Genomic DNA, 21,454 nt, shown 5'->3' with positions numbered 1-21,454 from the left:
GCACCTGGGTTAATAGGAAGTACTCGGGAACCCAGCCCAGCTCTGGGACTCACCTCTGAGCACAAACGCAATGTCGGGCACACTGGTAAAGGTCCACTAGAATCCAGCAGCCTGGACCCCTTTCTTTGTGGTCAAGAAAGGTGGGAAAACAGGTGCAGGACTGCTACATCCACCAACTTTCTGGTATTATTTTTTTTCACAATAGCCATAGAAAACTAAAATGGGGGGGATTACAATCATTTCTTTGAATATCTTGATCTCCTGACCTCGTGATCCACCCACCTCGGCCTCCCGAAGTGCTGCGATTACAGGCACTTCTCTGAATATCTCATAGAATTATTCACTTATTCACTCATTTATTTATTCAAAAACAAAGGTTTTTTTAACCTCACCGTTTAGTAGCTAAAGGAAGGAAAATAAATTATTGTGTTAAAACATTATAGAGGGTGTACTGAAGGAATAAATTGTGGGCTTGGGCCATTCAGAGACAGAGAAGATAAATAAGTAAAGAGGTCTTTAAGGACGAAGAGGAGTTTACCAGTTGGTAAATACTAGAAAAAGGAAAAAGCACTGGCAGATTCATGGAGATCATACATGAAAGAGCAGAAATGGGACCAGCTCCTCTTCAAATTACCACTCCTCTCACTTTTTTCATAATTATCTCCACAAGGTCATACCAAAGGTCATCAATTCAGAACATAAATCAATAGATTTCCAAAAGAATTCCATGGAAGTCAGCTCTCCCAGGGGCCCCATTTCCTCCTGCTCCCTAATCCATCTAAACTCTTATGCCCAACACCTTCCTCCTTTGCCCCACTCATGGCAGGTGACACATTCGAGAACCCAGAGAGTCAGAGTTCTTTTCTTTCTGCCTCAAATCCTGGGCTCCTATCCAAACCAAAGAGTAGGGACATGTAACTATTTACACTTCATTCCACCCAACCTCCCCCAGTTCTGTGGCTACTTTCCACCAGCCATCACTGCCTCCCTAACCCCGACTGGGGACTCTTGGACCCTGACTCTTTCCCTACTTGGATCAGCACCTGTTTTTCTCCCATAGCATGGGCAACAGTAGCTCTGAAGTCAGAGATTTTGGCTTTGAATTCTCACTGTGCTTTTTTTTTCCCCTCCCTAGATTCTCAATTTCTTTAGAGTTGGGCTCAAAATGTGGTAATGGCCAACATTTAGTGAGCACTTGTTATGTTCTGGCCATGAAGCCAAAACTTTACATGCTTTCTCCAGAAAAACTCTACAAAAGAGATTTTTAAAAAAATCTTCATATTATAGGTGGGAAAGCTAAGGCGCAAACAGGGTAGTTCCCTGTCCAGAATCCCCCAGTTGGTAAGAGGTACAGCCAGGATTGTAGTCCAGGCAGTCAGGCTCCAGAGACTTTGCTGTTAACCATTCATTTAAACAAGGTCATGATTAAGTTGAGCCTCCAGTCTAGATGGCAGCCCCTAAACCTTCCAGAGGTCATTTCATGTTTGCTATGTTTGATTCATTATTTTCAAATTGCAGGAAGATGTGTCAGATTATGAACTCCCCATATTGGCATAAATGCAAGTCTCACTATCCAGGGCAGCTCCTGTGAGAAACTGAATGGCAATCATGGGGCTAGGTGTAGCATAGTCATTGAAAGCGATGTTTATGGAGAATGTTTAATGATATGAGTAAAGCATGTGGGAAAGTGATAAAAGTAGAACATAGAGCCATATGTAGAGTATGAATGTAACTCTTAGAAAAGTGTGCTTGTGATTTTGAAGACTTATTAAAAAGTATACATCTATCCCACTTATTTATTTATTCATTTATTTATTGAGACAGAGCCTTGCTCTCTCGACCTGGCTGGAGTGCAGTGACATAATCTCAGCTCACTGAAACCTCAGCCTCCTAGGTTAGAGTGATTCTCCTGCCTCAGCCTCCTGAGTAGCTGGGATTACAGGCACCCACCACCATGCCTGGCTAATTCTTGTATTTTTAGTAGTGACAGGGTTTCACCATTTTGGCCAGGCTGTTCTCAAAGTCCTGTCCTCCGGCAATCCACCCACCTTGGCCTCCCAAAGTGCTGGGATTACGGGTGCGAGATACTGAGCTTGGCCTATCCCATTTATTTACTACTCAGATACCTCCATAAAAACTCCTGAAAGGTGGTAACTCAGCTGCTATGTCCTTTGCTTCCATCGCATGATGCAGATGACTGTGTCTGTTGATGATGCCCAAGAAATACCTACTGATTGAATCCATGAGTGACAGCTGGATAAAGCAAAACTTTGAACTGGTTATATCACCATCCTGAAGAGACTCAGTTCAGTTTTGAATGCCACATTGTAAAAATGAAACTGCTATATTGGTTGCTGGATATTTCCTGATTCGGTGTTTAGGCAAGCCAAGGCAGAGGAAGGAACACCAAGATGCCCCTTGGTGGCATCTTGAAGCAGTTACTCCTGTGGGTAGATCAGCTCAGGGATTTGATTTGTGGGTTTTTTTAAATTATACTTTAAGTTTTAGGGTACATGGTCACAACGTGCAGGTTAGTTACATATGTTTACATGTGCCATGTTGGTGTGCTGCCCCCATTAACTCGTCTTTTAACATTAGGTACATCTCCTAATGCTATCCCTCCCTGCTCCCGCCACCCCACAACAGGCGCTGGTGTGTGATGTTCCCCTTCCTGTGTCCATGTGTTCTCATTGTTCAATTCCCACCTATGAGTGATAACATGCTGTGTTTGGTTTTTTGTCCTTGTGATAGTTTGCTGAGAATGATGGTTTTCAGCTTCATCTATGTACCCACAAAGGACATGAACTCATCCTTTTTTATGGCTGCATAGTATTCCATGGTGTATATGTGCCACATTTTCTTAATCCAGTCTATCATTGTTGGACATTTGGGTTGGTTCTAAGTCTTTGCTATTGTGAATAGTGCCACAATAAACATATGTGTATATGTGTCTTTATAGCAGCATGTTTTATAATCCTTTGTGTATATACCCAGTAATGGGATGGCTGGGTCAAATGGTATTTCTAGTTCTAGATTCCTGAGGAATCACCACACTGACTTCCACAATGGTTGAACTAGTTTACAGTCCCACCAACAGTGTAAAAGTGTTCCTATTTCTCCACATCCTCTCCAGCACCTGTTGTTTCCTGACTTTTTAATGATTGCCATTCTGACTGGTGTGAGATGGTATCTCATTGTGGTTTTGATTTGCATTTCTCTAATGGCCAGTGATGATGAGCATTTTTTCATGTGTCTTTTGGCTGCATAAATGTCTTCTTGTGAGAAGTGTCTGTTCATATCCTTGCCCACTTTTTGATGGGGTTGTTTGTTTTTTCTTGTAAATTTGTTTGAGTTCTTTGTAGATTCTGGATATTAGCACTTTGTCAGATGAGTAGATTGCAAAAATTTTCTCCCATTTTGTAGGTTGCCTGTTCAGTCTGATGGTAATTTCTTTTGCTGTACAGAAGCTCTTTAGTTTAATAAGATCCCATTTGTCAATTTTGGCTTTTGTTGCCATTGCTTTTGGTGTTTTAGACATGAAGTCCTTGCCCATGCCTATGTCCTGAATGGTATTGCCTAGGTTTTCTTCTAGGGTTTTTATGGTTTTAGGTCTATCATTTAAGTCTTTATTCCATCTTGAATTAATTTTTGTATAAGGTGTAAGGAAGGGATCCAGATTCAGCTTTCTACATGTGGTTAGCCAGTTTTCCCAGCACCATTTATTAAATAGGGAATCCTTTCCCCATTTGTTGTTTTTGTCAGGTTTGTCAAACATCACATAGTTGTAGATATGCAGCATTATTTCTGAGGGCTGTGTTCTCTTCCATTGGTCTATATCTCTGTTTTGTTACCAGTACAATGCTGTTTTGGTTACTGTAGCCTTGTAGTATAGTTTGAAGTCAGGTAGCGTGATGCATCCAGGTTTGTTCTTTTGGCTTAGGATTGACTTGGCAATGTGGGCTGTTTTTTGGTTCCATATGAACTTTAAAGTAGTTTTTTCCAATTCTGTGAAGAAAGTCATGGGTAGATTGATGGGGATGTCATTGAACGTATAAATTACCTTGGGCAGTATGGCCATTTTCACGATATTGATTCTTCCTACCCATGAGCATGGAATGTTCTTCCATTTGTTTGTATCCTCTTTTATTTCATTGAGCAGTGGTTTGTAGTTCTCCTTAAAGAGGTCCTTCACATCCCTTGTAAGATGGATTCCTAGGTATTTTATTCTCTTTGAAGCAATTGTGAATAGGAGTTCACTCATGATTTGGCTCTCTGTTTGTCTGTTATTGGTGTATAAGAATGCTTGTGATTTTTGCACATTGATTTTGTATCCTGAGACTTTGCTGAAGTTGCCTATCAGCTTAAGGAGATTTTGGGCTGAGATGATGGGGTTTTCTTGGTATACAATCATGTCATCTGCAAACAGGGACAATTCGACTTCCTCTTTTCCTAATTGAATACCCTTTATTTCTTTCTCCTGCCTGATTGCCCTGGCCAGAACTTCCAACAGTATGTTGAATAGGAGTGGTGAGAGAGGCAGCACACCAACATGGCACGGGTATACATATGTAACAAACCTGCACGTTGTGCACATGTACCCTAAAACTTCCAGTAGAATTAAAAAAGAAAAAAAAAAGCAAATGTGTACCAGGGTGTTCAATACATAAAAACGTAAGTTTAAAACCATTTCCGCTGGAATTTATTTGCTTATTTATCTACATACAAATAGGTGGGAAATGAAACTTATTTTTCCTCAAGTGATTAGTTAGCCAATTATCTCAATATCAATTAATAAATATCAATTATTTATCCAAAAATATATAAAATTTTCACATATTTTAAGCTCTTCCAGATATCTTGTTTTTACTGCTTTTTAATTTGTTTCTGGGCTTCTCAGGTAACAGTTAAAAATTTCAACCCTTTGAAATCTGTTTTTTTTAAAGATCAGCATATTTTGATCAATGTTCCATGTGCATTTGAAAAGAATGTGTAGGAGTGGTGAGAGAGGGAAGTTCTGGCCAGGGCAATTAGGCAGGAGAAGGAAATAAAGGGTATTCAATTAGGAAAAGAGGAAGTCAAATTGTGTCTGTTTGCAGATGACATGATTGTATATCTAGAAAAACCCATCCTCTCAGCCCAAAATCTCCTTAAGCTGATAAGCAACTTCAGCAAAGTCTCAGGATACAAAATCAATGTGCAAAAATCACAAGCATTCTTATACACCAATAACAGACAAACAGAGAGCCAAATCATGAGTGAACTCCCATTCACAATTGCTTCAAAGAGAATAAAATACCTAGGAATCCAACTTACAAGGGATGTGAAGGACCTCTTCAAGGAGAAATACAAACCACTGCTCAATGAAATAAAAGAGGATACAAACAAATGGAAGAACATTCCATGCTCATGGGTAGGAAAAATCAATATCGTGAAAATGGCCATACTGCCCAAGGTAATTTATAGATTCAATGCCATCCTCATCAAGCTACCAATGACTTTCTTCACAGAATTGGAAAAAACTACTTTAAAGTTCTTATGGCACCAAAAAAGAGTGCACATCGCCAAGTCAATCCTAAGCCAGAAGAACAAAGCTGGAGGCATCATGGTACCTGACTTCAAACTATACTACAAGACTACAGTAACCAAAACAGCATGGTACTGGTACCAAAACAGAGATACAGATCAATGGAACAGAATGGAGCCCTCAGAAATAACGCTGCATATCTATAACTATCTGATCTTTGACAAACCTGAGAAAAACAAGCAATGGGGAAAGGATTCCCTATTTAATAAATGGTGCTGGGAAAACTGGGTAGTCATATGTAGAAAGCGAAACTGGATCCCTTCCTTACACTTTATACAAAAATTAATTCAAGATGGATTAAAGATTTAAACATTAGACCTAAAACCATAAAAACCCTAGAAGAAAACCTAGGCATTACCATTCAGGACATAGGCATGGGCAAAGACTTTATGTCTAAAACACCAAAAGCAATGGCAACAAAAGCCAAAATTGACCAATGGGGTCTAATTAAACTAAAGAGCTTCTGCACAGCAAAAGAAACTACCATCAGAGTGAACAGGCAACCTACAAAATGGGAGAAAATTTTTGCAACCTACTCATCTGACAAAGGGCTAACCTCCAGAATCTACAATGAACTCAAACAAATTTGCAAGAAAAAAACAAACAACTCCATCAAAAAGTGGGCGCAGGACATGAACAGACACTTCTCAAAAGAAGACATTTATGCAGCCAAAAAACACATGAAAAAATGCTTACCAGCACTGGCTATCAGAGAAATGTAAATCAAAACCACAATGAGATACCATCTCACACCAGTTAGAATGGTGATCATTAAAAAGTCAGGAAACAAAGGTGCTGGAAAGGATGTGGAGAAACAGGAACACTTTTACACTGTTGGTGGGTCTGTAAACTAGTTCAACCATTGTGGAAGTCAGTGTGGCGATTCCTCAGGGATCTAGAACTAGAAATACCATTTGACCCAGCCATCCCATTACTGGGTATATACCCAAAGGACTATAAATCATGCTGCTATAAAGACACATGCACACGTATATTTATTGCGGCACTATTCACAATAGCAAAGACTTGGAACCAACCCAAATGTCCAACAATGATAGACTGGATTAAGAAAATGTGGCTCATATACACCATGGAATACTATGCAGCCATAAAAAAATGATGAGTTCATGTCCTTTGTAGGGACATGGATGAAATTGGAAATCATCATTCTCAGTAAACTATTGCAAGAACAAAAAACCAAACCCTGCATGTTCTCACTCATAAGTGGGAATTAAACAATGAGAACACATGGACACAGGAAGGGGAACATCACACACCAGGGCCTGTTGTGGGGTGGGTGGAGGGGGGAGGGATAGCTTTAGGAGATATACCTAATGCTAAATGACAAGTTAATGGGTGCAGCACACCCACATAGCACTTGTATACATATGTAACTAACCTGCACATTGTGCACATTTACCCTAAAACTTAAAGCATAATAATAAAATAAAATAAAAAAATAAAAAAATAAAAGAATTTGTATTCTACAGTTGTGTTTAATGTTCTATAAACGTCAATTAGACTAAGGTGATTGGTAGTGTTATTCAGATATTCAGTATTCTTACTATATTTTTGTTAGTTGTATATCGATTTCTAAAGACTTGCTAAATTCTCCATCTGTGAGTTTGAATTTGTGTATTTATTTCCTTATTTCTGAAAGTTTTGCTGCATGTAATTTGAAGCTCTGTTATGAAGCACATAATCTACCTGATGCATTGATCCTCTGTTATCATGAAGTGTTCCTCCTTGTCTCTGATAATATTCTTTATCGGTAGTTAATTTTGTCTGATAATAGTATAGCTACTCCATATTTCTTTTGCGCACTGTTTGCATAACATAGCTTTCTCTATTGTTTTTATTTTAAAGCTATTTTTGTCTTTCTATTTGAAGTTCATCTCTTCAGTATAACACACAGGCTGTCAGTCCCTGCTTTTTAAAAAATCCAGTTCATCAGTCTCTTTCTTTGATTGGAGTGGTTAGTCTAGTAATCTTTAATGTAATTATTGATGTGGTTGAATTCAAGTCTGCCATTTTGCTATTTTTTTCTGTTCGTCTCATCTGGTTATTATATATTTCCCTATTTATCCTTTCATGCCATTATTTGTATTAATCAAGTATTATTCAATATTTCATTTTAATGTGTCAGCTGATTTATTAGTTCTCTCTCTTTGGATTACTTTTTAGTGGTTGCTTTAGGGATTACAATATGCAGTTTAACTGGTTTTAAACCTTCTTTAAGTTTATGTTAAATTATTTCAGGTAAAATATAGCAACCTTGCAAAAGTATATTTCCATTTCCCCTTTTTCATATCCTTACTATTATTGGTGATATTTTATATATAATATAATATATTATATTATATATAAATATACTATTATATTATATATAAAATATCACAATATAATATATCATATTATATATAAATATACATAATATATTATATAAATATACATAATATATTATATATAAATATACATAATATATTTATATAATATATAAGTATTACATATTATATTATATATAAACATATATAATAAGCCCAACAATACAGTTTGATTTTTTCTTTAAAGTCATATATTGTTTAATGAAATTAAGAAAATAAGATTTAAAAGATATTCTATGTATATGTATATATACATACACACGTTTATATGCGTGTATGTATGCATCTGATGGTCTTTATTTCTTCCTGTGGGTCCACTTTTATTTGGTGTCAAATTAAAGAGGGTTGTAGGTGTATGCATTTATTTCTGGGCTCTCTATTTTGTTCCATTGGTCTACGTGTCTACTTTTGTACCAGTACCATGCTGTTTTGGCTACTGTAGCCTTGTAGTGTAGTACATGTTTGTTACTTGGGCATATTGTGTGATGCTCAGGTTTGTGGTATGATAGAACCTGTCACCCACGTAGTGAACATAGTAGCCAATAGGTAGTTTTTCAGCCCTTGTGTCACTCTCTCTCTATCCCTTCTAATAGTCCCCAGTGTCTATTTCTCATTTTTATGTCCATGTGTCCATATGTCTAATATTTAGCTCCCACTTATAAGTAAGAACATGTCATATTTGGTTTTCTGTTTATGTGTTACTTAGCTTAGAATAATGGCCTCCAGCTAGATCCATGTTGCTGCAAAGGACATGATTTTGTTCTTTTTTATGGCTGCATAGTATTCCATTGGGTATATGTGCCACATTTTCTTTGTCCAATCCACCATTGATGGGCATCTGCATTGATGCCATGCTTTTGCTATTGTGAATAGCATGATGATGAACATTGGGTGCATGTGTCCTTTTGGTAGAACGATTTATTTTCCTTTGGGTATATACCCAGTAATGGGATAGCTGGGTCCAATGGTAGTTCAGCTCTTAGTTCTTTGAGAAATCTCCAAACTGCTCTCCACAGTGGCTGAACTAATTTACATTCCTACCAACAGTGTAGAAGTGTCCCTTTTTCTCCACAGCCTCACCAACATCTGTTATTTTTTGACTTTTTAACAAAAGCCATTCTGACTGGTGTGAGATGGTATCTTACTGTGGTTTTGATTTGCATTTCTCTGATGATCAGTGTATTGAGCTTTTTTTTTATATGCTTGTTGGCCACATGTGTGTCTTCTTTCTTCTTTAGAAAAAAAGACATGCATGTCCACTTTTTCATGGAGTTCTTTGCTTTTTGCTTCTTGATTTGTTTAAACTCCTTATAGATTCTGGATATTAGACCTCTGTCGGATGCATGGTTTGCAAATATTTTCTCTCATTCTGCAGGTTGTCTGTTTACTCTCTTGGTAGTTTCTCTTGCTGTGCAGAAGCTCTTTCTTTAGTTTGCTTAGGTCCTACTTATCAATTTTTGTTTTTGTCACAATTGCTTTTGGGGACTTAGCCATAAATTCTTTGCCAGGGCTGAAATGGAGAAGGTTATTTCCTAGGTTTTCTTCTAGAATTGTTATAGTTTGAGGTCTTACATTTAAGTCTTTAATCCCTCTTGAGTTAATTTTTGTATAAAGGGACCAGTTTCATTCTTCAGCATATAGATGGGGTCCAGTTTCATTCTTCAGCATATAGATAGCCAGTTATCCCAGCACAATTTAATGGATACAGAGTCTTTTTCCCCATTGCTTATTTTGTCAAGCTTGTTGAAGATCAGAAGGTTGCAGGTGTATGGCTTTATTTCTGGGCTCTCTATTCTGTTCCATTGGTATATGTGTTTATTTTGTACCAGTACCATGCTATTTTGGCTACTGTAGCCTTGTAGTGTAGTTTGAAGTGGGTAATGTGATGCCTCTGGCTTTGTTCTTTTTGCTTAGGATTGCTTTGATTATTCAGGCTCTTTTTTTTCCTAGTTCTGTGAAAAAGGACATTGCTGGCTTGATAGGAATAGCATTGAATCTGTAGATTGCTTTGGGAAGTATGGTCATTTTAACAATTTTGATGCTACCAATTCATGAGCATGAAATATTTTCCCACTTGTTTGTGTTATCTCTGATTTCTTTCAGCAGCATTTTGTAGTTCGCCTTGTAGAGACCTTTCAGCTAATTGGTTAGATATATTCCTAGGTATTTTATTCTTTTTGTAGCTATGGTATAGGGACTGTGTTCTTGATTTCGATCTCAGCTTGGATGTATTGGTATATAGCAATGCTACTGATTTTTGGCCATTGATTTGGTATCCCAAAACTTTACTGAAGTCATTTATCAGTTCCAAGGGCCTTTTGGCAGAGTCTTTAGGGTTTTTAAGGTATAGAATCATATCATCCATGAAGAGAGATAGTTTGACCTCTTTTCCTGTTTTGATGCCTTTTATTTTTTTCTGTTGCCTGATTGTTCTGGCTAGGACTTCCAGTGCTATGTTGAATAAGAGTGGTGATAGTGGGCATCTTGTCTTGTTCCAGTTCTCAAGGGGAATGCTTCTCACTTTTGCCCATTCAGTATGATGTTGGCTGTGGGTTTGTCATAGATGGCTCTTATTAATTCGAGGTACATTTCTTCAATGTCTAGTTTGTTGAGGGTTTTTTTATCATGAAGAGATGTTAGATTTTATCAAAAGCGTTTTCTGCGTCTACTGAGATGATTATATGGTTTTTGTTTTTAATTCTGTTTATATAGTGAATCACACATAGTGACTATCACTGATAATGTTTTGTTTTTATTTCATCTATTTTATCTAATACTAATATAGTTACTCTGATTCCATTAGTATTTTTCTGGCATATATTTACCACCTTTTTACTTTCAGTAATTTCATAGTCTTACGTTTTAGTAATGTCTGGAATTTAAAAAGTCCAATCTGACAACCTCTGCGTCCTAACTTGTGAGTTCTTCTATCCATTGATTATCTTCTACTCATTAATTATTGATGTATTTGCATATGTTTCTACTATTTTACTTTGTGGTTCCTTTTCTATGCTTCTTTTCCCCCTTCTTTTTGGGAGTATGTTTTGGCCTTTTTTTTTTTTTTGGCTCTTTATATCCTATTTTTTCTTATTCTGTATTTTCCTCTACAGATTTCAAATTTATACATTTTACTTCTATTCTTTAGTTACTATGTTTGAGAATTTTATTTTTCATGCTTGATAAAGTCTAAAGTTATTTGGTATTTTAACCACTCCCCCACTGCCCACCCTACAACCTCAAAAGATGCATGGACTTTAGCACAGTTTAATTTCAGTCACTCACTCCTGGATTAATGATTCCTCTTGGCTCTCTTGTGATGCTTCTTGGCTCTCTTAATGATTCTGTGTTTTCCACTGCAGATATATGGGAATTTCTGTATCTCTATTATAGCACACACCAGCATGGGGGATTAGGTTGTTCTATCTGGACCCCGTCTCTGCTGAAACATTCCATAGTCATGTTACTCCATGTTGAGCAAGAGTTCCGTACTGCATGGTATCCTCTAAATATTCCAAATGGGAATTCATATATCAGACTTTTCTGTATTCGGAATTCCTCTAAATATTCCAAATGGGAATTCATATATCAGACTTTTCTGTATTTGGAATTCCTCTTAAGTGTCTAGGCTTTCTAATACATTGTCATCAATTTATCCATTCCCTACAGGGTATAATGAGAGACTATGGGACTCAGAAGGTGGCAGATATTTTTTATTATGGGGAAAGATAACTGAGAATAAAGCTATCATGCAGATATTTGCAGAGATAAAAGTAATGCAGATACTGAGTGGAGTTTTGATCAAACTATGCTTGAAAGCCACTCTACCACTAGTTACACAAACCAATAATTTCCCTTCGCAGTGGAAGTCAGCTTGAGTTTTTTCAGGTGTTTTTGTGGGTTTCACCAGATACAGCAAAGAAATTAAAATTACTGTTAATGGATGTCAAAACCAGTCAGAAGTATCCTAAGTTATATAATTTGTCAAACAACCATATACATATATTTTGTATTATATTTATCCTTTTGTTCTTCCTTTGGTAGGAAAATTGTCTCATTAATTCTTATACGAAAGGACTTAAAATTAGCAAACTTTTTTTGCAAACACATGGATTCCATTCTTGGACTTGAGGACAACTTGACGAACAGGCTGGGGAGGCCTTGAGTGGTCTGGAGCCAGCTTGAAGCGGAGCAGAGTTAATGCCACTGCCACTTTACACTCAATTATGGCAAAATGCTGCCCAATGCAGTTCCTGGGGATACCAAGAAAGAAAACATGGCATCTAATGAATTTATATATTATTAACAACATACGCCAATCTTTTTATATATGACGACTTTTGTAGGGAAACAAGATCCATTTTTTTTTCTGTCATCCTGCTGGATTACAGGTGCTCACCATGATGCCCAGCTAATATTTTTGTATTTTTGGTAGAGACAGGGTTTTACCATGTTGGCCAGGCTGGTCTCAAATTCCTGATCTCAAGTAATCCGCCTACCTTGGCCTCCGAAAGTGCTGGGATTACAGGTAAGAGCCACCGCACCCAGCCAAGATCCATGTTTTAAACAAATTCCAATGTGGCAGAATCCAGCAAATGTTTTATTTTAAGTTAAGTAAGCCCCGATCAGAAAGTCCATTAATGTCAAGACCTGCAAACTGTGGCTCTATTATTTTGGGGCCCATCTTACAAATAAGTGGTAGTGAGTTCTATCAACATTTGATTCTGCAAGGTCCACGTAACTTGAAAACCTTCCTTATATCATGATAAGGAAAAGCTACTTCTTACTATTATTTAGAGGCTGTGCAGTTGAAGCCTTAGGCATAAGAACAATAACCTGGCATACTCAGTGGATTGTGTTGTCATTTGGTAAATCGGGTGTCTCTCATACCAAACCAAAGGGAAACTTGGACTTTAGAACAACATTGCTCTCTGTAGGAACAAGAGCTGGGAGGTGCCAATGTTGCCTTGTTCCTATAACAAGATGGCATTCCCAATGCTTGTCCATTGCAAGTTTAAGTGTAGTCTTTGGGCCTGTCATGAGGATGGCCTTCATCAATTCACACCCATATGCCAAGGACCAGAGTTGTTCTTTGTAACATTAACCGGTCCCTTTGGGGGCTCAAAAGGGTACCAACTAAATGCACTGGTCACAAGAGAAGACAAGCCAGGTAAAATAATGGGGAGCAACAGCAGTGTCAGCTAACTGAGGGCCTGAAGGGAAGAAGCACTTGTCAGGTAAGCACTATTACACATTTCCATCAAGTTCACCAGCTTGAGTCTTTACCTTAATCCAGCTGAGAATGGTATGAAGGCATAGGGATGTATTTTTTCAGAATTTTCCCTGGAGAATCTCAAGGGGTTAAAGACCTGTAATGAGAGTGAAGATCCCAGTCCTAATCCCTCCAGCCCACCCCCACAAAAAACAAAAACAAAAACAAAAACGAAATCCATAGATATTGTTAACAGAATTCCAAAGCTAATTTTAGGAACTTACAATGTCTGGAGACTACAAGTCCTGCTTGATGTTCCCCAAAAGCCTACCACTGAAAATATATCCCAAGAAAGCAGAGGCTATATAACCTAGTGATAGATTAAACAGGCCCCGATAGTAAGAAGCAGCAGCAAATCATCCAGACAATCTGACTTGAGCAAATAGTGACTTCATTATTTTCCCTTCACAGTAAACCCGTGCCTCTGTCATATAAAAATGGGCAAAGCATCAAATTATTATCTTTTCTATTTGTCTTGGTTTCCAAATGGACTGAGCCAGTGACTTGGGCAAAGAAAAAAGGGGTGGCAATTCACAAGCTGAAGTCACAAGCTGAAGTTGTTCAGCTTCTGCCCGAAAGTCTCTGTGAGAGGCTGCCGATTAGTATCTCCTGGGCTGTGGGGTTGGTCTGAGCGCTGGTTTGCAGCCCAGGAGTGTGCTTGTTCTCTCCCAGGCCCCCTCTCCCTTTCACTCTCAGGTTAGCACTGAGTGTGAAGGAGAGTGATATTCCTAGAGACTAACTTCAAATATGCTCAAATCTTAAAAAAAGCAAAGAGTCCATAATCTTGCTACTTTAATTATGACCAGTAACAAGAGATTTGCAATACACTTCACAAGTCTGTGACTAGATTGACTACAGACATGAATGAAAGCAGAGAGCAAGGTGGTTAAACAGTGCAGTGTCAGTTGACTAATCACACCCCTCTACTTCCCAGGGGATGATATGCTTCTGTTGATAAGGCATCATCATGGAACTCTGGTGATGATTATAAATGCAAATGTAGTTTTCTCTTAAAAGCATAGGGTTTTTGTTCTGTTTTGTTCTTTTCTAAATGACAGATCGTTATCCTAACTGCTCTCTCAACTGTGAAGATGCTTCTCTTCCCTCTTGGTGCTATCTTAGATGCCACTGGGTGCAGTTGGGACAATCATACCTGAGGGTCTTCCCAGAAATAGGGGTTGTGGTGAAGAGCCCAAATATTGATAAACACAGTTATTCCTGAGTAAACAGAAGAAAAAGCAGGTAAGTGCATGAGCGAAGATTCTGTCTTTTTTTTTTTCTCTTTTACTTTTTTTTTAAAATTATACTTTAAGTTTTAGGGTACATATGCACAACATGAAGGTTTGTTACATATGTATACATGTGCCATGTTGGTGTGCTGCACCCATTAACTCGTCATTTAACATTAGGTATATCTCCTAATGCTATCCATCCCCCCTCCCTCCACCCCACAACAGGCTCTGGTGTGTGATGTTCCCCTTCCTGTGTCAATGTGTTCTCACTGCTCAATTCCCACCTATGAGTGAGAACATGCGGCGTTTGGTTTTTTGTCCTTGCGATAGTTTGCTGAGAATGATGGTTTCCAGCTTCATCCGTGTCCCTACAAAGGACATGAACTCATCATTTTTTATGGCTGCATAGTATTCCATAGTGTATATGAGCCACATTTTCTTAATCCAGTCTATCATTGTTGGACATTTGGGTTGGTTCCAAGTCTTTGCTATTGTGAATAGTGCCACAATAAACATACGTGTGCATGTGTCTTTATAGCGGCACGATTTATAATCCTTTGGGTATATACCTAGTAATGGGATGGCTGGGTCAAATGGTATTTCTAGTTCTAGATCCCTGAGAAATCGCCACACTGACTTCCACAATGGTTGAACTAGTTTACAGTCCCACCAACAGTGTAAAAGTGTCCCTATTTCTCCACATCCTCTCCAGCACCTGTTGTTTCCTGACTTTTTAATGATCGCCTTTCTAACTGGTGTGAGATGGTATCTCATTGTGGTTTTGATTTGCATTTCTCTGATGGCCAGTGATGATGAGCATTTTTTCATGTGTCTGTTGGCTGCATAAATGTCTTCTTTTGAGAAGTGTCTGTTCATATCCTTCACCTTCTTGTTGATGGGGTTGTTTGTTTTTTTCTTGTAAATTTGTTTGAGTTCATTGTAGATTCTGGATGTTAGCCCTTTGTCAGATGAGGAGATTGCAAAAATTTTCTCCCATTCTGTAGGTTGCCTGTTCACTCTGATGGTAATTTCTTTTGCTGTGCAGAAGCTCTTTAGTTTAATAAGATCCCATTTGTCAATTTTGGCTTTTGTTGCCATTGCTTTTGGTGTTTTAGACATGAAGTCCTTGCCCATGCCTATGTCCTGAATGGTATTGCCTAGGTTTTCTTCTAGGGTTTTTATGGTTTTAGGTCTAACATTTAAGTCTTTAATCCATCTTGAATTAATTTTTGTATAAGGTGTAAGGAAGGGATCCAGTTTCAGCTTTCTGCATATGGCTAGCCAGCTTTCCTAGCACCATTTATTAAAAAGGGAATCGTTTCCCCATTTCTTGTTTTTGTCAGGTTGTCAAAGATCAGATAGTTGTAGATATGCGGCATTATTTCTGAGGGCTCTGTTCTGTTCCATTGATCTATATCTCTGTTTTGGTACCAGTACCATGCTGTTTTGGTTACTGTAGCCTTGTAGTATAGTTTGAAGTCAGGTAGCATGATGCCTCCAGCTTTGTTCTTTTGGCTTAGGATTGACTTGGCGATGCGGACTCTTTTTTGGTGCCATATGAACTTTAAAGTAGTTTTTTCCAATTCTGTGAAGAAAGTCATTGGTAGCTTGATAGGGATGGCATTGAAACTATAAATTACCTTGGGCAGTATGGCCATTTTCACGATATTGATTCTTCCTACCCAGGAGCATGGAATGTTCTTCCATTTGTTTGTATCCTCTTTTATTTCATTGAGCAGCGGTTTGTAGTTCTCCTTGAAGAGGTCCTTCACATCCCTTGTAAGTTGGATTCCTAGATATTTTATTCTCCTTGAAGCAATTGTGAATGGGAGTTCGCTCATGATTTGGCTCTCTGTTTGCCTGTTATTGGTGTATAAGAATGCTTGTGATCCTCAATAAAATACGAGCAAAGATTCTTTCACATCTATTCATAGATTTCATAACCAAGGAAAGAATTCTACAATCATAATTTCGTTAACCATTTAAGAAGCGTCTGTTATGATGACACTTAAATGGGTGCTGTGAAGATCAGTGAGATCTACTCTAGCCTTCAAGGAGCTCACAGTCCATTGGAAGAGACAGGCAATTGCAACACATGGTAATAAGTCAGAAGGAAGCCTAGGATGCTTGGGGAATTGAGAGGGGAACCTCATGTATAGAGCCTTTGGATGTATGCAAGAGAAAAGGCCCAGGCGAGGCATGCTGAGCTGAGTATAATGAAATCGGTAGGGGAAAACCAGGTAAAGAGAAGAATGTTCAGAAAGGAATTTGAGGCAGATAAAAAAGCATGAAGCCAAGCTTTAATACTTGAGAAAGCATGAGAAATTTGGGTGACTGGGAGGTTGTATAACAGGATTCAGGGAGCAAAGTGTCCATAGATCAGCCTGTGGAGGTTGGCTGGGCTTGTACCTTAAAATGGGAAAGAGGTCATGCTAAGGATTTTAGGTTGAAACCATTATGGATCACTGAGAAGTTTAAGCAGAGAGTGAGAGTATTGTCTTTTTTTTTTTTCCTTTCCTAGTCAGCTACTTGGGAGATTGTATTATACTTTGGAGCCATAGAACCATATGGGATATAGTGCCAATATGGCACTGAAGTAATATTTTATCATGTTATGGAATATCCATTGATCAGGGTGGAGATGATATGGGTTTCTCCTGAAACCTATAAATGTAATAAATTATATTAATGGATTCCTAATATTGAACAATCTTTTCAGTTTTGGAATATGACCTACTTACTTGGCCATGATGCACTGTTTTATTTTATTTTATCTTTTTGTAGAGATGGGGTCTTGTGTTGCCCAGACTCAAGCGATCCTCCCACCTTGACCTCACAAAGTGTTCGGATTACAGGCATGAGCCACCTGCCCAGCCAATACATTTATTTCAATGAGCTATTGGATTATGTGTACTAATATTTTATTTAAAATTTTTGTACTTATATACATAAGTGATTTTTATCTAAATATATTTTTGTTCAATTTTTAGTAGGTTTGTTATCAATGTGATACTTCCTTAAATAACTTTCTAAGTTTTTATTTTTCTATGCTCTGGACAACTTTAAGTATTACTGGGATTATATGGTCTTTACAGGTTTGAAAAAATTTGTGAAAAACTGCATAGGTCTGGTTCCTTTTCAGGGGCTCTACAATTTTTCTCTAGTCCTGTGAAAATTGGCATGCTTAGACTATTTATCTCTACCAGCATCAGTTTTAGTAAATTATGTATTATACAATTATCTAGTTTTTTTCCTGGTTTTTCAAGTCTCTGTGCATACACTTGTGTAATATTAGTTCGTGGTGTGTCTCTTTGTTGACCAGCCCCTCCCCCACTGGCTATTGTGTTTTTTGACTAGTTTTGCAACCGTTCTGCTTTCCATACCATTACCTTTTGCTTTCGCCTTTGTTAATTCACCTGTTTCCTTTTAGTTTACTCTTTTATTCTTTCCCCAACTGATTTATTTCCAGTTGTTTTCGACGTCAATGTTTAATTTAATTCTTTTATTAATAAAAATATTTCGCATTTACTATTATAGCTTCTCTTCTGAATGAATGCTGCTTTAGTGGCAAACCATTAATTCTCATATGTAGAGTTTTCAGGGTCATGATTTGATTTTGTAATTTTGCTTTAGCCCAAGAGTTTTTAATGGATTAAACAAAAAACTCCAGATGAATGAAACTTTTTGAAAAATTTTTGTTGCTAATTTCCATTTTTATTGTCTTCATTTAAAGAACACTATTTTGTAATGTTTCTCTTTTAGTAATTAAGTTTTTTTATTGTGGTCTAGTATACAGTCAACTTTAAGCAATGTTGCTGGTGTACTTAAAAGGAAAGTCTGTCCTCTATTAGTGGGGAAAAAGTTTAATATTGTACGCATAAAGTCTATCTTATTAATTACATTGTTTAGATCGTCTGTATACTTTATTTGTTTGGTTTGCGTAGGTCTTTGAAAGGCAGTTAAAATCTGTTAGTAGGGTGCCTTTGACTGTTTTCCTTTTCATTTCCTATAGTTTGCTTTAAAAAATTGCAGGGCTGGGCACAGTGGCTCACCCCTGTAGTCCCAGCACTTTGAAAGGCCCAGGCGGGTGGATCACAAGGTCAGGAGACTGAGACCATCGTGGCTAACACGGTGAAACCCCGTCTCCACTAAAAATACAAAAAATTAGCCAGGCGTGGTGACATGCGCCTGTAGTTCCAGCTACTTGGGAGGTGGAGGCAGGAGAATTGCTTGAATCTGGGAGGCAGAGTTTGCAGGGAGCAGAGATTGCACCATTGCACTCCAGCCTGGGCAACAGAGCAAGACTCCATCAAAAAAAAAAAATTGCAGATGTGTAACTTGATACATAGGTAGGTATCAATAGCTGTCTTATGTTCATGATGAATTGTGGCTTTTAACATTATGAAGACTAATTTTTGAACTTCACCAATCCTGACATGGCCAGCTAGCTTACTGACTGAGGTAAAGACCTAATTTGGGTTAGAATGGCAACTGGAACACCATAACAGTGCTGCATCCACACAGCAAAGATCACTTTCAAAAAACAAATGGCCAGGTCACCGTTAACGAATTCTTCCTAAGTGATTAATCCACATATTGCTAGCTAATCAAGGACATTCAAGAAATTTGCTTTCTTAACATGGGTCAGAGATTTTGAAGTTTAGAGCTTCAAAAACCCAATGTTATTTAACTCTCCCAAGCCTCAATCATAGGGTCTAACCTCTATGGTTGGATTAGGTTTATATCCTGGCAGTACACATTCTTTCATTTTTCAATTTTTGGTTCCAGAAGCCTTGTTCTCTTTTAAATGGTTTCTGGAAGTCTCACCAAGATCATCAGAACAGACTGCCCATTGAAGTTCAGTAGTAGCTAATACCTAAGAAGTATGATTCACAGGCTCATCAATTATTAGCTCCTTTGGGTGAGTCTCAAATCATGGTCAATGAAAAAATTTTTTTGAGACAAGGTCTCACTATGTTGCCCAGGCTGGAGGGAAGTGGTGTGATTATAGTTTGCTGCAGCCTCAAACTCCCAGGCTAAAGTGATCCTCCCACCTCAGCCTCCTGAGTAGCTGGGATTACAGGCACATGCCAGTGTCCTCAGATGAGATATTTTTGATTTCCTAAGTCTGTTATTGTCTTTCTTAGGAGTTTCTGCTTGCTCTAGCTTACAGCCAGTGTCTAGTTGATTGCCATGGATCTCTCCCATGAGTGGCACAAAACCCATTGTGTTTTGTTCTATTTAGTGATTGTGAATTATTTAGGGGATTTCATGGAACACCCATTTTTTTGGGCCATGTCCCTCTCCACTGAGGCTTACTGGACCATCAGATTCATGGCACATACTAGGCCATTGATAGGTCTGTTATTGGCTATTGAGGGAATCTGTTGTTTTTGTTTTTCTGGCATGGGTTTTATTAATCCAGAGAATCACACTGACACCTTATGAGCATATTCATTATAATAAAAAAGCATGCACATTATCTAACAAAATTACATATTTAAACCAAGAATACGTCAGAAAAAGACATAATTTGAAAATTTCCTACTTTATTGAGGTCTTAAATCTCCATGGAGCCTTAGGGCAAAAAGGAAATAGAATTCATAACTTTTGGTGGTTTGTCATCTTTTTTTTTTTTTTTGGCCATGTAGAAAATCTGAAAACACCTCAATGACTCTAACTCAATGTCAGTGAAGATTCCCTGGAAAAAAACTTATGAAAAGCAGATTAATGACTGCCTGCAACTGATCTGATTTTATCTTCATCCTCTCTCTAAATCTGTCTTCCTAACTCCAATTTCTTTGTTCCACAAATCTAGGTAATTCTGAGCAAGGCTCAAAATATCTCTTAATAAGATTAGTGAAAAGGGATCTGCATTGTCCAGAAAAAATGACTGCTCTCCCAGGAATCTGTGTATCATTTGAGTCACAATCTGTCAGCAGAGTGGACATCCCCTTTTCTCTGCCAGAATAAAGAGTCTTTAATTGTACCCTAGGCTCTAAATTAAAAGTTAACTTTTAAAAGATAAAATATAATTTTTAGGATTGACTATTTCTTTTAGGTGATTAATATACACTTTTCCTAAAGTAGCTCAGCCTTACTAAGCTTATTAAGACCACAATTTCTAAACCTTTTCTATGGGATTAAAAAGTAGAGCCACCCTCTACTCTCTGCAAGTCTTTCTGCAGCCACCCTCTCATTGCCTTTTAAAACTGGGAATTTCTCTTCTTGTTTAATTTGGCAGCCCAATCCTACCTTCTTTTTTAATTTCATAAATTCATTAAAATCTCTCTCTCTCTTTTTGTTTGTTAAATACCTTCCTTCCATTCTTTTCACTTTTATGGGATTATTTCTTTTTGCATTTCAGTGTATGTGTATAAGTAGGATCTTAGGAGGGACAAGTGGCAACAGAATCACCCAAGTGGCTTTCTTGAGTTGGAACTTAGAATTTACCTAGACTTATGATTTATCTTTTATAAGTAGATTGGTTTGTAGATACCTAAGTATGGAAATATAAAACTTAGGGGACTCTGGCATTTGAAGATTGACAAAGGCAATAACTGAGACCATGGAAGCAAGGTTGTTGAGAAGGAAATAGCTGATATTCTAGGACTTGGATACTGTCTGGGTAAGGAAGATGGTGGAGGTGTGAGGATGACTTCTATCTTTCTCACTTAAAATTACTCACAGACAGTGGTGCCATTCATTAATGTAGCAATCCAGGAGGAGGAATAGGTTTAGGGGAAGGAGGTAGATGACATGCTTTCTTTTGGACATTTTGCACATCATAGTATGCTCAGAACAAAGCAAAGTGCCTAGAGCAAATGTTTAATATGCACTTGTTGGGCCAGCAAATGAAGAGAAGGGCACACATAATGTAGTAGGTCTTTTGCCAAGAGTGAATGGGACCATGGCACAGGCACAGGTAGAGAGTGATGACAATGTGTAAGTGATACTGTGAGGTGTGGGAGAGAAAGCAGGCATC

At 37.9% G+C, this 21,454-nt stretch overlaps 1 protein-coding gene and 1 long non-coding RNA gene across 4 annotated transcripts in view, besides 1 other annotated feature; one reads left to right on the top strand and one right to left on the bottom strand.

The window, feature by feature from the left end:
* CYP4A22-AS1 (CYP4A22 antisense RNA 1) overlaps positions 1-21,454 on the top strand; it is an 84,084-nt gene that overhangs the window by 49,640 nt on the left and 12,990 nt on the right. The window lies entirely within an intron of this gene.
* Positions 11,666-21,454, bottom strand: part of CYP4Z1 (cytochrome P450 family 4 subfamily Z member 1) — a 62,794-nt gene continuing 53,005 nt past the window's right edge. For both annotated transcript variants that reach the window (XM_024453856.2, NM_178134.3), the window contains 3 exons: positions 14,391-14,455; positions 13,252-13,334; positions 11,666-12,218 (listed from right to left, as the gene is read on the bottom strand). In XM_024453856.2, coding sequence (XP_024309624.1) covers positions 12,050-12,218; positions 13,252-13,334; positions 14,391-14,455 — 317 coding nt within the window. In that variant the 3' untranslated portion in view covers positions 11,666-12,049. The remainder of the gene's footprint in view (positions 12,219-13,251; positions 13,335-14,390; positions 14,456-21,454) is intronic.
* Positions 16,433-16,975: an enhancer, noted in NCBI's record as "OCT4-NANOG hESC enhancer chr1:47578681-47579223 (GRCh37/hg19 assembly coordinates)". NCBI's record gives its function as "activates a minimal SCP1, AML or CMV promoter by ChIP-STARR-seq in primed H9 embryonic stem cells {active_cell/tissue: H9 hESC(primed)}" and the evidence as "EXISTENCE:reporter gene assay evidence [ECO:0000049][PMID:30033119]".

The sequence above is a fragment of the Homo sapiens genome, chromosome 1 (assembly GCF_000001405.40).
Source record: "Homo sapiens chromosome 1, GRCh38.p14 Primary Assembly".
Lineage (NCBI taxonomy): Eukaryota > Metazoa > Chordata > Mammalia > Primates > Hominidae > Homo > Homo sapiens.
This window is presented reverse-complemented; position numbering and strand designations above follow the sequence as displayed.